The following is a 13,771-nucleotide window of genomic DNA, read 5'->3' as shown; positions in this document are numbered from 1 at the left end:
CATCAGAAACTTCCTGGCTTTAATAGGCTATAAATGGCAGGAGCTTTGAAGTCCCTGGGATTAGGATCAGTAATACACAGACTGAATGAGAAACCAAATGCAGGTGGAACATACTCTGTGCGTCCCGAATTAAAAACAAATCCAATGAATCAAATAGTCCTCAACCCTAGCTGCCAGCCAGCAGATTACAGGGGTGGCCAAGGCAAGGAACAAAGTGATTAAGGAAGAACCAATGGGAACTTCTAGTGATTGCTCTCTTTAAGGACCTGACTTGAAGTCTGGACAGGGTATGCTTTGCTGCTGACTTTTCCAATCAGAAGTGAGGCCATCCCTTTTTTTTTTTTGAGAAAGTACAGCATCAGAGCAGAGATAAGAAAGGAGAAAACTAATGCCTTTTAAACTGAGTTTTCATGTAAACAAATCAGCTGAGATGGCTGAGGGAAGCTGAGATCTGTTTTCCTAAGGCTGATAGCCTTTGATCCTGTTGATTCCTAAGCCCTCAAACACTTGTGGCTACAGAGTATGCCAGGGCTTGGAGTTAAATGGGCCACCCTAGAACAAGAATGAGATGACTGAGAAAAATGGAGGCATGCTGTCTCAGAAATGGTATTGCTATTGACAAAGCAGGAAAATTTATTTAAAACAAAGGATGTGAATAATTTGGCCATCCAAAATTGATCCAGCTGAGAGAGGCACTAAGGCTTCTTACCTTCTGGAGGGTTTTTATTCTGATTATTCCAGACGACAAGTAGTTTGGATAGACTGGGCACCTTGGACACTTCAGTGATGACCCGGAAGAGGCTCTCTACTCGGTCGTAGGTGAGGACTATGGCGGTGAACCCTTGAGACTGTGGTGGGATCAGCGGGAGGAAGAGTGGATTGCTCACGCTGCCCCACTTCTACAAGAGGACAGATTAACACGGGTCAGAAAAGCAGCTGTAACAATATGGCTGACCCAATATCGTCAGCAAACCCAAACATGGCAGGCTTGGTGGCTTTTACCAGGACAGATCCCAGAGCTAAGCAACTGCTCAAAGTCTTCCCCTCCTCAAAATTTGCATGGACTAATTAAGTTTGGTTCTGATATCACTGGAAAAGGAGCTGAGAACTTTTGCAGCTGAGAAAAGAATTCTAGTTAAACATGACAGATTAAAGCATGCGTTTATCTCCATTCTCTCCCCAAACCCAATAAAAAGGCAGTTGATGAATATAAAAGAATATAAATCTACAAGGACAAAGAGATGGGAGAAGAGACAACAGCTGATGGGCCTATTACGATATTTTTGAAAGCTGGAAAGGGCTAGAGAAGGGGTAGCAGAGGAGGAGTGAGAGTGGAGACCTGGGCACCTACCAGGAGGGGAGGCAGCGATGGCAAGCAAGCCAACCTGGGAATTCACAGGGTTCAGGAATGAAACTCACAGATACCTTGTGAGGTAAGAGAAGCGGTAAGGTTGAAAACAGGAAGACTGTTAAAAATCTGTTTAAGGAGCAGTTAGAGGCCCAGATTCACAAACCCTCCCTTGATCCTACTCAGCCAGAAAAACGACTCTTCCCTCACCCCAGCTAGAGAAGGGAGGTTTCCTCTCCAAGGAAACTGAAGCTCTAGACAGGGAAATACAGGCACAGAGGAGAGGAAAATACAGGCTAAAAATCTACATTCTGAATGGTGGGCCCTACAGCCTTCTTTCCCCTTTAGTTCCCAAAGCATTGGTAGCCATGTGGTTAGCTCGGCACCCCAACATCTTACAGTGAAGTCCTCCAGGCAACAAGCTGGCCTTCACACAAAGAACTTCCGATCAGCTTTTCAGCGCTTCCCTCTCAATCATGAGCAGATTCTAGAATCACAGGCATTTCAAGAGCATCTTCAGCATGAATGTCAGAAACCAAATGAATAAAGAAAAAAAGGAACTTAGAAGTAACAGAAACAACAGAAGCAGCAGAAGGAAATTCAAACAGCATCAACAACAAATTGTAGCCACTGGCAGATAAGATTCTTCATCCATGAAACAAGAATAAATTGCTATTTTTATTTTAAAAGCTCTACCAAAGAACAGAAACAACTCTTCAACATTAAAAATATAATAGTTTAAATTATTTTTTGAGGGCAGGATTGCTACCTGGTTGGTCCTGTCAGTCGGGGGAAAAAAGGTCAGGATTGCAAGATAAAGATGACAAAATATTCCAGACTGGTGAACAAAAAGGCAGAGATGAAAAATAAGGACAGAGAAAATGAGAAAATCTAGAAGGTCCAACATCTATTTAATAGGAGATTCCAGAAAAGAAAACACAGACTATGGGAGAAGTAAATCTATCAAAGAAATTAAAGAAGTTCTCAGTACGTTAAGATATAAGAGGCATGAATTTTCAGATTGCAAAGGATTAACAGAAGCAGCACAGTGAATTTTTTAAAAAGACAAAAATAAAAAAACAAAAACCACTGCCATATCAAAGTGCATATTTCTGAACACAGAGAATAAAGAGAAAATGTTCACAATGTGTGAAAATAGGTGAGGAACATGTGAGTTCAATGTACAATTCTCAAAAGTTATCAGTTAAATGTGAAATGTTTTTAAAATAAAGTTTAAAAAGTGATGAAAGAAAGTCAATCTCTTTGCTACCATTAAAATATTAAGTACTTTTAATACAGCAATGTAAGCAAAAATATTTTTGCACTGATAATAATTAAGATTATTTAAATGTTCTTATATATTTTACCAGCTTTATTAGGATATGATTCATATACCATACAATCTACCCACTTAAAGCATATAATGGTTTTGGTATATTACATTGTTCACTTTTAAAAATTGTGGTAAAATATATATAATATTAAATTTGCCATTTTAACCATTGTTAAATGTGTAATTCGGTGGCATTAATTACATTCATATTCATATGTTATCATGCAAAAAGCCCAGGACTGAATTCCATCTTTGCCAGAAGGTGGCTGAGAATGAAATGTCCTATCTGCTATTATGGCTGCTGCATACTTCCCTAGTCTTTTATACTCTGGGATTGCCAAGGTTCCCTATCAATCTCATCCATATCACTGATGGACACCCATCACCAACTTTGTGACAACAGCTGTCTGCCAGATGTAACAGTGTGGGATGAGAAATGCACACAAACCCATGGAATACATATGGGATGGAAACTCAAAGAAGCTGAATGGGATTCCTAGGGTCCTAATGTAATCAGGATATTAAAGCCAAAATGTCCACAACATGCTATAATTAGATTTCACAACCAAGAGACACAATAGGAAACGCCATCTTTTCTTTTTCTTTTTTTTTTTGAGACAGAGTTTCACTCGTTGCCCAGGCTGGAGTGCAATGGTGCAATCTCGGCTCACCTCAACCTCCGTCTCCCGGGTTCAAAAGATTCTCCTGTCTCAGCCTCCCAAGTAGCTGGGATTACAGGCATGCACCACCACACTGGGCTAATTTTGTATTTTTAGTAGAGACCGGGTTTCTCCATGTTGGTAAGATTGGTCTCGAACTCCCGACCTCAGGTGATCCACCTGCCTCAACCTCCCAAAGTGCTGGGATTACAGGTGTGAGCCACCGCGCCCGGCCAGGAAAGGCCATCTTTTCAATGTTGATCTTCTGTTTCCATGACATCACACTTTGATATTAAGCTGTAGTCTTAGGAAGGTGCCTGGATTTTAGTATTTGTACCTTAGCAACTCATTGTACTTCTAGAAACCTTTTTGAGTTTTCTACCCCAAATTTTATTCTTCATCTCTTCCTGACCTTTATGGAAACTGAAGTCAGAAAGTAGCCCTATATTTAAGTCATAATTAATCCCCAGGGACCGTTCATGGTCTATGTGCCATCACTATCCCCAACCCACTCACCTAACCCTCTTGACACAATACTCACTAATGCCTGCTTGAAAAACACCATTTTAAGTGGAAAAGAAACAAAAAGATTCCTTTAAAAAAGTGTATAAAATGATTTAATGTGTGATATTGAAACAGTCAAGATTTACTGAGTACTTACTAAGTGCAAAATACTGTGCTTTACATGTATTACCTCATTAGATATTCACAACAACCCCCAAGATAGATACGGTTATTGTTCTCACTTTACAGATGAGGAAACTGTAGAACTAGAAATAGCAAATGATGTTCAAGGCTATATAACCTGTAAGTGATGGAACTGAGATACAACTCAAGCAATCTGATTTCAGAACACCAGACGGTAATGGTTCACAGCCCTTCCCTATGCCCTCCTACATACATACCCAAACTGGGTATGCATTACCATTTTATAGACTTTGGAAAATTCAAGTGTGGGGAACTCCAGAGTTTGCTACTTCTAGCTCTTTTCTAAGACAAAAATCCTAAAAGTTCTTGATCCTTGTTAATAAAATCTGGGCCAATAAGCAAGAACCCACCCCAAACACTATGATTTCAGAAAGTCTATGGAATAAAAACACACCGAATATATAACACTGACACAAAGTGTGCACATAAATTTAAAAAGGTAAATACACCACTAAAACAGAAGGAAAAACTATTAAAACTCCAACAGAATGAGGTCTGTTCTTTGGGAGAAGAGGGGAGAATGCCAACACACTTAAATGTCTTTATGACATTAAGAAGAGAGGAAAATTCCCTAAGAGATGCAAAGCTTAGGCTCACAAAACGAATGCCTTGGCATTTAAACTGAGGCAGCCCTGAAAGGCATCGCAGCTCTGATTTCAAGGAGCTGCCAGGGACATGGAACCAGAGTCGCTGGCAAGACAACAGATCGGGTCTCATCCCACATGCCAGCTCCACTTGGGAAGTGAATCGGTAGGGGAGGAGGAAGGACAGGAAGGAATGGTTGGCTGGGAAGTGGACAGTAACTTTTCTTAATGTTGTTTTTCCCCACTGCCCACTTGCATCCCAAATAGGGCTTGAGTACTGGAGAAGCAGGGAAGGCAGCATGGGGGGTATGGACAGCATGGAAAGGAGCATAAGGAGAACTGGATCTTGCCAATACCGTCCCTTAAAATCCAGAAGTGGAGATGAACACAGGAGGCAGTATGTAAGCTTCTAAGCATACATCTACTCAAACACAGGCTCAATTATTTACTGTAGAACACACCACCAGGGTTAATGCAAATGGCTTCAAAATTGAGTTAGCATGTTTGAAGTCAGTTTTGGAATCACAAGTTCTTAATCGGAATCCAGGTTCTTTCACTTGCCAGCTGCATAGCCTGGGCAAAGTACTTAATCTCTCTTGTACCTCAGTTTCTCTGTCTATAAAAATCATCATATAACTATTACCATCTTTCTAGGTAGTATTACTTAGCATAAATGAGGTAATATATGTAAGGTACTGTCATGTAGAAGCATTCAATAAATTGTAGCCAATGGTTGATCTTGTGTGAGTTATAATTTCTCCAGGCTTTACGTTCCATGTGTCTCAAAAGTGGATAGGAGGTAGCCTAAGCAGTCTTGAGATCTCTTGCAGCACAAGAATTCCAAATGAATTGCAGTACAAGAATCCCAAATGAAGTCCTTATTTCTCCCTCTCTTTACCTTATCATGTTTCAAGGTCCTGGTTTACCTGGATTCTCTACCTCTACTTCTTCCTGTCCAAATATACTGTTTTTATTTCCATGATTTTCTCTTTTCCTTTCTATTCATTATGTTTTGGCTATCCTGAAAGCTCCACGAAGGCAGGAGCCAGAACACCCACTATTTAGAACAATGCCTAGTTGTTCAATCAAAACTTGTTTTTTAAAGAAGTAAGTTAAAGCCAAATGACTCAGGCCTGTTTTATCAGTCCCCCTTATGTATAGATATGAATAGCTGATGTACATTTAAATGACTAAAATTATGAGTTTTGAAATGACTCCGAACCTAGTTAACTCATTTTATACATACTTACCAAGAATCTTACTGTGCTGTGTTCTGAAGAAGTGTAGGATTTTATAGAGATATTTAACAGAGGGCTTTAATCTGGGCCTTGCCATGTACTAGTCTTGTGACATGTACAGTTCTTTGAGTATCAGTTTCCTCATCTGTAAAACAGGGATCATGATAGTATCTACCTCCTAGGGCAATGATGATTAAACGAGATTATGTACATAAACATTTAGCAGAGGGCTCAACACAGGATCCTATGAATTAGAGTTTAAAGCAAACAAAATACTTCCACTCTTCTCGATTTGTATTCATCTTGCCTACTAAAACACTGGTATTGGTGATTCAGCAATCATTCCCACTAGCTTTATTTCTGGTACTCATTCATTCAGTCAACATTTCCTGAACATACACTATAAGCCTGGTATAGTGTTAAAGATGCAAAGATGAACACTTTCCTTCCTCTCAAAACACACATAACCTAGTGGGGAAGACAGCACAGTAAAAACACAAATTACAATGTAAACTAACAAGTAGTAAACAAAGAATGAAAGGTACTCCATAGGTGGAAACACCGAGATCTACACAATCACCTCTCCCTACCTGGAGATGAGGAGGTCTGAGCAGTGCCTTTAAGAAGAAGCAGGAGAGGGCTGGCCAAAGAAGCCTAGGGGCAAGCTGAGCGGCATGTGCAAAGATTTGCTGACAAGACAGTGAGCCATCCAACAGGGCACCTCACAGCTTGCTGGGAGGAGAAAGGTCAGACAGCAGAAATGAGAGGAACTCAGGTAATGGCAGGTTAGAGCTCTATTGTGAAAAGCCTTAAATAATATATATTTTTTAAGTTACACAGCTAGCTTTTTCGTTTCTTTTGAAATTTTCTTTTCCTGGTCATTGTTTTAGTGACAAATTGACATGGCTACCGTTATGCTCTATTTCAAAGAGTCATAAATAGGAAATGCTGATCTACAACTAAGCTTCTGTGTCAATTGCTTTTCCCTTCCTCAAGCATAATCCTATTTGCCTTTGGAGCTCAGTGACAGCGTGGAGAAAGGCAGCTTTAATTGGGGTGTTACCTTCACACAGACACTCCACCCCACTAGGGTAAGGTCAGCAAACTAACCTCCAGAGAAAAAAAGCTTCCTGGGGAGGAACATTTCAAAAACAGCATTTAGTCACCTCTGAAATACCTTTAAGAACTGACCCCCTGCTGGCTGACCAAGGAGAGTGTCTACAGTCTGGGACCTCTTGACCCCACTTTCTGCATGAAATCAAGCAAATTTAAACCTCCATAATTTACTCAAGACTGGCTTCTGCCAGGGAAAAGGCAAACAATGCTGGCAATTAACTCTGCTACCTGATTAAATCTCCATGATGGCAAGATAGGGCATAAAACCAGGCATCCAGCAACAGAGCTGGAGAAGAGGCAAAGCTCATCTATCGCAGCTATGCCTTCAAAACCTTGGCTGTCAATGCAATTTTCAAATACACTGGATGAACCTGTTCACTCAAAGGTAGGAGGAGATACCAAAAGAATAAGTGTGTATTATTCTGACAATGTGCTGGCCTTTGGCCAAAATGCCTTGCTCACCTCTTGCCCATTCTCCCACCGTTTACTTCTCACTCCTCCAAATTCAGTACAGAAGCGCCAATAAGAAATCTCACATTGTTAAATTGCAATTGCATAAAAGTAATCCCTAACAGCCACGAGAACTGTCAGGTCACAATGCCAGCTGCAGAAAAGTTCTTTTATTCTGCAAAGCCCTGGTGTAAGAACTAGTAGTGTGCAGACACTAGTGAGAGGGATGTGTGGGCTCAGGTTTCAGGATGCCTTGAAGGAAAGGCCTTGGGAGACTAAGCTTAAAGTCAGCTACCAGTTCAAAGGGGTTTCCCCTTCAGGAAAGAGATTCAAACTCAAGCAACTAGTTGTGCCTTTGGCATTCCCAAACACAGGAAGTTGCCTGAGCCCTTCCTGCAATCCTGATTTGCTTTCTTGTAGTTGAAAGGTCATGGTAGCTGTGTGAGCCTAACCAAAACCATTCTAGGGTTACCATACAGAAAGCAGAGAAAGGTGGTAAACGGGTGGCCTTTGCTAGCCATTCTGAAGCGTTCTTGCTGATGCTACTCGGATTGTGAAATCAAGAGCAAGGAAAACCACATTTCATTACCAACTAAAAGACTCTTTCAGCCTAAACCAAACCAAACTGTAGCACTGAAGAAATCAAGCTGCAATACAGGATGATCCAAATTTTAATTACTATTCCTCATCACATCAGAGATTTTTTGTCACTATGTATAACTTCATGTGAAAATAAGAGAATTCAGCAGATATTTGAGTCAACCTATATCTGATTTAAATGAACGTATTTTGCCTAAACAGAAAAATGAGAAGACAGAGAAGAAAGGAAGAGAAGAGGACAGGCCTGCTATACAGAAGCTTTTCAGCACCTAGTAATGAGAAGCCTTACCTATTCCTACCTTGATAGAAAGGGCAGTTTTCTTGGTTGTTTTGAAGTTATCAACCCTTACCTCAATGTGGTTTCAATTATGAATTACCAGACTAAAAGGGGAAAAAAAGCTTTGATTTATTCTTTTTTGCTCCAATTATGCATGATGTGTTTCCACTGAAGACTTTGAAAAGTATTTCATCATGCCTCTCATCCAGAAGTGGTCAAAGGGCAAAACCAAAAGGAGTTAACCCTTTCATTTCTCCTTTAGGTTCAAAGAGACTCCCTATCAATGGATATAGGACAAGGCCTTTGAAGCAGGGCAATGAAAGAGTTAAGCATTAGCATCATATTACTAACGTGCATAAGGGTGGTGTCCCTTGTCCAAAATGGTGAGATGATATTTATGTTAATGGTTACTGGGAGATTTGAAAGGGGCAATCAGTAATGTGGTCCATGTTGCCTTAACCATTAAACCTCTACAGCCCCAAATACCCACAGCACAGCACTCCACCAGCCAGGCACATGCTGACTTGCAAAACTAGAGAATTACTGAGACCTAACAATGTCTTCAAGTAGCATCTCTTAGCTCAAGAGAGAAAAGTTTTGGGGACAAGTCTGAAGTTTACCTGATGCACATGTCTATTTCATTTCACTCTCAAATAATAACTGATATGGTTTGGATTTGTGTTCCTGCTCAAATCTCACATTGAATTGTAATCCCCAATGTTGGAGGAGGGGCCTGGTGGGATATAAATGAATCATGGGGGTGGGTTTCCCCCTTGCTGTTCTCATGACAGTGAGTGAGTTCTCCCAAGATCTGGTTGTTTAGAAGTGTGTAGTACCTCCCCCTTCTCTCTTCCTCCTGCTCCAGCTATGTAAGACATGCCAGCTTCCCTTTTGCCTTCCGCCATGATTGTAAGTTTCCTGTGGCTTCCCCAGAAGCAGAAGCCTGTACAGCCTGCAGAAACAAGAGCCAATTAAACCTCTTTTCTTTCTAAATTATCCAGTCTCAGGTAATTCTCTACAGTGATGTGAGAACAGACTAATACAATAACTGACTGTTCTGAAAAACAAGAATAACACTGAAGGCCAAATCTCACTGACCAACCATTAAACAGACATGTGAAAAATGGAGAAAATCAAAGGCTAGAAATCCTCTTAAGGCTTCAACTAAGTAAGATAGTTAATTATCAACTTAAAGCTCCTGAAACCTATTTACAGCAATTTGCTCATAAGTGAGTTTTCTAAATGGTGGCATCACATTTGGGGGTACTGAACTAACAAGTACCATGACTGATATCTGAAGAAACTGAGCCAGAGACTAACTCAGGGTCACAAGAGCAGGCCAAATATGTCTACTGCTATTCTCTTTTTCCTACAGCTGCTTTTAAGATCTTTGCTTTTTCTTTGGTTTACTGCAGTCTCATTATGATTACCAGGCTGTAAATTTACTTTTACTTATCCTGCTTGTGGTCTGCTAGTCTTCCTGGATCTGCGGCCTGTGTCATTCAACAATTGTGGAAAATTCTCAGCTCTGATCCTTTCAATAGGGCTTCTTTCCATTCCCCACCTCTTCTTCTGGAACTCAGCTTAGACGTATGTTGGACCTTCTCTCTCTGTTCTCTATATTACTTCACTTCTTCATATTTTCCACCTCTTTGTCTCTTTGGGCTGCATTCTGAACAATTTCATTGACTCTAATAATCTAATCTAATAATTGCAAGCCCTTGCATGTCTGTTTCTGGTAGTTCTCGCTCACAATATTGCCTATAGCTTTATGGTTGTGAGCTGCTAATTGTCCTCAGACACTTAATTTATAAGAATTATTTGAGACCTGGACTGAAAATATGGTCCTTATGACAGGGTTTGTGTCTGCTTCTGCTGGTTCCTATCAATACAAAGCCACTTTCAACTAAATTCCCTTCATAAGGCTTATTTGGATGATAACTGTAGTATGAATCCATGTGGGGGTGGCTTGTGATTGCAGTTCTTAATCACAAGGGTCAATACAGACAGGTTTACTCCTTCTTTACTCTTTCACTGAAGACATAATCTTTTAGTTTCCTAGCTTCATCCAAGAAGTTCTTGTGAGAGTTGGATGGGCCACAGGATTTAAATCCTAATCCCTGTCCCTTACTTCACAGAGTTACCAGGTCAAAGCTCCAGATCATCAAGGTCTACAAAAGTCTCCATGGCAAAAGCTGATTTTGGCTCCCACTCACCTCCCAGGATACCAAGTTTCACTTTGATTTGGGGATTAGCAAATACCTTACTTTCCTGCCAGCTCAGCAATAGGTTAAAATTGCTTTATAATACTTCATTCAATATTTTAGTTGTTCACTTAAGGAGGTCACTTAGCATATCTAACCTATCAGAAAGCCAGGGACAGAAGTCTTTTTTATATTTACACTGCCACTGTACTTATGTGTCATTGTGTTCCCTGTTTAACTTGGGGGCCAAATTTGGGTACAAGATGAAAACAATTATATGAAAAGAAAGCAGTATAATAGATGGAATGATGGGCACAGAATCTCTGCATTAGATGAATCAACATACTTTTTTGGACCTCCATTTCCTCATTTAAAAAAAGAGGTGATCAGTGGATGGGCCTTGAATATAAATATGTCTCACTTCCTTCATCTGTAAGAATAGAGCTAACGGAATGCTACCTTTTGTTGTAAGGAATAAACAAGAGAAAATACATAATAAGACCTATCTGGGCACAAAAAATACCCTCCTGTATTTTTAATTTTCCTCTCCAGAGTCCCACCCAATTCTAAAATTTATGTTTCCATGTGATACAGCATTATACTATCAACCTTATAATTATCAACACTTCACTTCTCATAGCTCCACACCACTTACAAAATGCTTCCATGTATATCATTAATTTCTTAGAATAGTTCTCTGAAATAAGTATCCTCATTTTACAGATAAGAATAATGAAATTCAAAGAGATAAGAAACTTGCCAGGGTGGGAGGATTGCTCGAGGCCAGGAGTTCAAGAGCTGGAGGCCAGGAGTTCAACATCAGCCTGGGAAACATAGTAAGACCCTGTCACTACAAAAAAAAAAAATTAGCTGGATATAGTGGTGCAAGCCTATGGTCCTAGTTACTTAGGAGGCTGAAGCAGGAGGATTGGTGGAGCCCAGGAGTTTGAGGCTGCAGTGAGCTGTGATCATGCCATTGCACTCTACAAAAATAAGATTTTTTAAAAGTAGCACGGCATGTGGTGCACACCTATAATCCCAGCTACTCAGGAGGCTGAGGTGGGAGGATCACTTGAGCCCAGGAGGTCAAGGCTGTAGGGAGCTATGATTGTGCCGCTGCAGAAGGGAGGGAGGGAGGGACGGAGGGAGGGAGGAGGGAAGGAGGGAAGGAAGGAAGGAAGGAAGGAAGGAAGGAAGGAAGGAAGGAAGGAAGGAAGGAAGGAAGGAAATTTTGTACAAGGTCAAGCTAATAAATGGTTTTGAGCTCAGGTTTGATTCCAAATGTCCTTTGCAATGGCCTTAATTATAATCAGACATAATCAGATAATCATATGATCAGAAAATAATCAGTTGCTAATTGTTACACTATTCTTCTGAAGCTATCATTATCCCTAATTTCAGTCCTACAGATGGGCAAATTGTTGCAAAGAGAGATTTGGTAAGTAACCTCAAGTCACTCAGATCATCCTCAAGAAAAAAGGGATTGAAACGTGCAGTTTAGGAATTTCTGGGCTACAGTTAGTTTACTGGAAGGCTCACAGGTTAAACCCATTTGAATGCCTCTTGAAAATTCCTGTTATTATCTGAGTTTTAGCTACGTCAATTTTTTTCTTCATATAGCACTGAAATTCACATTTGGCTAAATGCCCACCCTTCTTCCATAAAGCCAAACTACTGTCAAGGAGAGCAAGAAAGGTTGCCACTGATTGCTTTTCAGGTAGTAGAGGAAAAAGTTGACATTTCATCCTCCTCTTGCTTGGAAAGAAAGCCAATCATTTATAAGAACCCTCATCTGGCTGCAGCTTCCATTAGTGGGATGGACAGAAACCATTTAAATGGTTCAACATAAGCCATATTAAAAGAATTTGGAATGAGGGAAGAGAGGGTTCCATATGCTGATACTTTTAATAATTCATGAGTTACAGCAGTCTGCAAGTAATAAATTTCACTAAATATATCTATAGTATGATTGCTTAAGATACTGGCAAAGATAACATACCATTGATTTTATTGGTTTATAATTTGATATGTTAAAAATAACAGTTCAGCTGTTTTACAGTACAAAAGATTTAGATTATTTAGAACAAGGTCTTCAATCATCATCCTTGGACCTGCTACTTCATAAATACACTGAAAATACTTAAATGCTTCAGTGAAAAAACTAGTGACTTATCTGATTCAAACAAAGAAAGCCAATCTATAAACCAAAGACAAAGTGTCCAACAATGTTCATGATGGCTTATACTACTACATCTTATGAGAGGTAAAACAAATTTACAGTTTCAACTGATTCTCCCATACTTGAAATGCTCTGACAGTTTGAAAGAGTAGCTCATTCTCTGATCTGGGCATAAAAATGATTGTTGGTAGCCCCTGACCATATTAGAGAGGTCATCTATGGTATAGGGGAAGACTTCATTGGCTTGGTAAATAAGAACTTTGGGGAGTGATTAAATTACAGCTTATGGCATCCAAGCTCAAAACACCAACACAGTTATAACCAAGAAAACCACAGTTTCTGTATAGTTTGAGCTGTTAGGAGCCTAACACCAAAATGAAAGTTGATACAGAGTGGAAAGAAGAGACTCCACAATAAAGTGATTTCTTAAATATTAATTTCTCTGGAATTCCAATAAAGCATATGTTTTGTCTGCTGTGCTCCATCTCTGCTTCTTCCTGAAAAAAAGGCATGAACCCACAAGGGCAAAAAAAAACCTTTTATTGGAAACAAGAATGGACCAGAGTTCAACAAATTTTTGGAAGGTAAAACAGATGAAGCCTTCCTTTTTCAAAATCCTCTTGCTATAAAACATAGAAATGTAGTATAAAATAGAACAAAAATTATTTTAAATATACAGCTGAGGTCACTGGAAAAGATAAGTCCCTAGGGACCAAAAATGAAGAAAAAACTGCAAATGAAAGCTGAACGCCCAGGAGCTAGTTGGCACTGTGGCACCGCAGAGGGCCAAGCTTGTTGCAGGGGTTGGCAATGTAGTTGGTTTTAACGCTCATGCTGGAACAGGAGACTTGGTTTTGGGCACAGGAAGTAAGGAAGTTAGAAGTGAGACTTGTACATTAAACCAGATCCCTTGAAGGCCTATACAATCAGTGAAAGAGTGGGCCAGAAAAAGTCTCTCACTAGTACACAGAAGCAACAAAAGTCACTTTTCTTTCTCAACCTGAGCTTGGTGATGTGGGTGAGGGGGAATCCTCCTGGGGAATTTTTTCTTTCAATTTATGTTTGCTTATTGTTT

General features: G+C 40.0%; 1 protein-coding gene across 9 annotated transcripts in view, besides 1 other annotated feature; it reads right to left on the bottom strand.

The window, feature by feature from the left end:
• The window catches only part of EXT2 (exostosin glycosyltransferase 2), a 156,285-nt gene that overhangs the window by 53,235 nt on the left and 89,279 nt on the right, over positions 1–13,771 (bottom strand). For all 9 annotated transcript variants that reach the window (XM_047426529.1, NM_001389630.1, NM_001178083.3 and 6 more), the window contains one exon: positions 710–899. In XM_047426529.1, the coding sequence (XP_047282485.1) occupies positions 710–899 (190 nt within the window). The remainder of the gene's footprint in view (positions 1–709; positions 900–13,771) is intronic.
• Positions 273–1,472: an enhancer, noted in NCBI's record as "MED14-independent group 3 enhancer chr11:44218806-44220005 (GRCh37/hg19 assembly coordinates)". NCBI's record gives its function as "activates an origin of replication core promoter dependent on BRD2, BRD4, P300/CBP and CDK7 cofactors, and independent of MED14, by STARR-seq in HCT116 cells {active_cell/tissue: HCT116}" and the evidence as "EXISTENCE:reporter gene assay evidence [ECO:0000049][PMID:35650434]".

This window comes from Homo sapiens, chromosome 11 (assembly GCF_000001405.40).
Source record: "Homo sapiens chromosome 11, GRCh38.p14 Primary Assembly".
In the NCBI taxonomy this organism is placed as follows: domain Eukaryota; kingdom Metazoa; phylum Chordata; class Mammalia; order Primates; family Hominidae; genus Homo; species Homo sapiens.
This window is presented reverse-complemented; position numbering and strand designations above follow the sequence as displayed.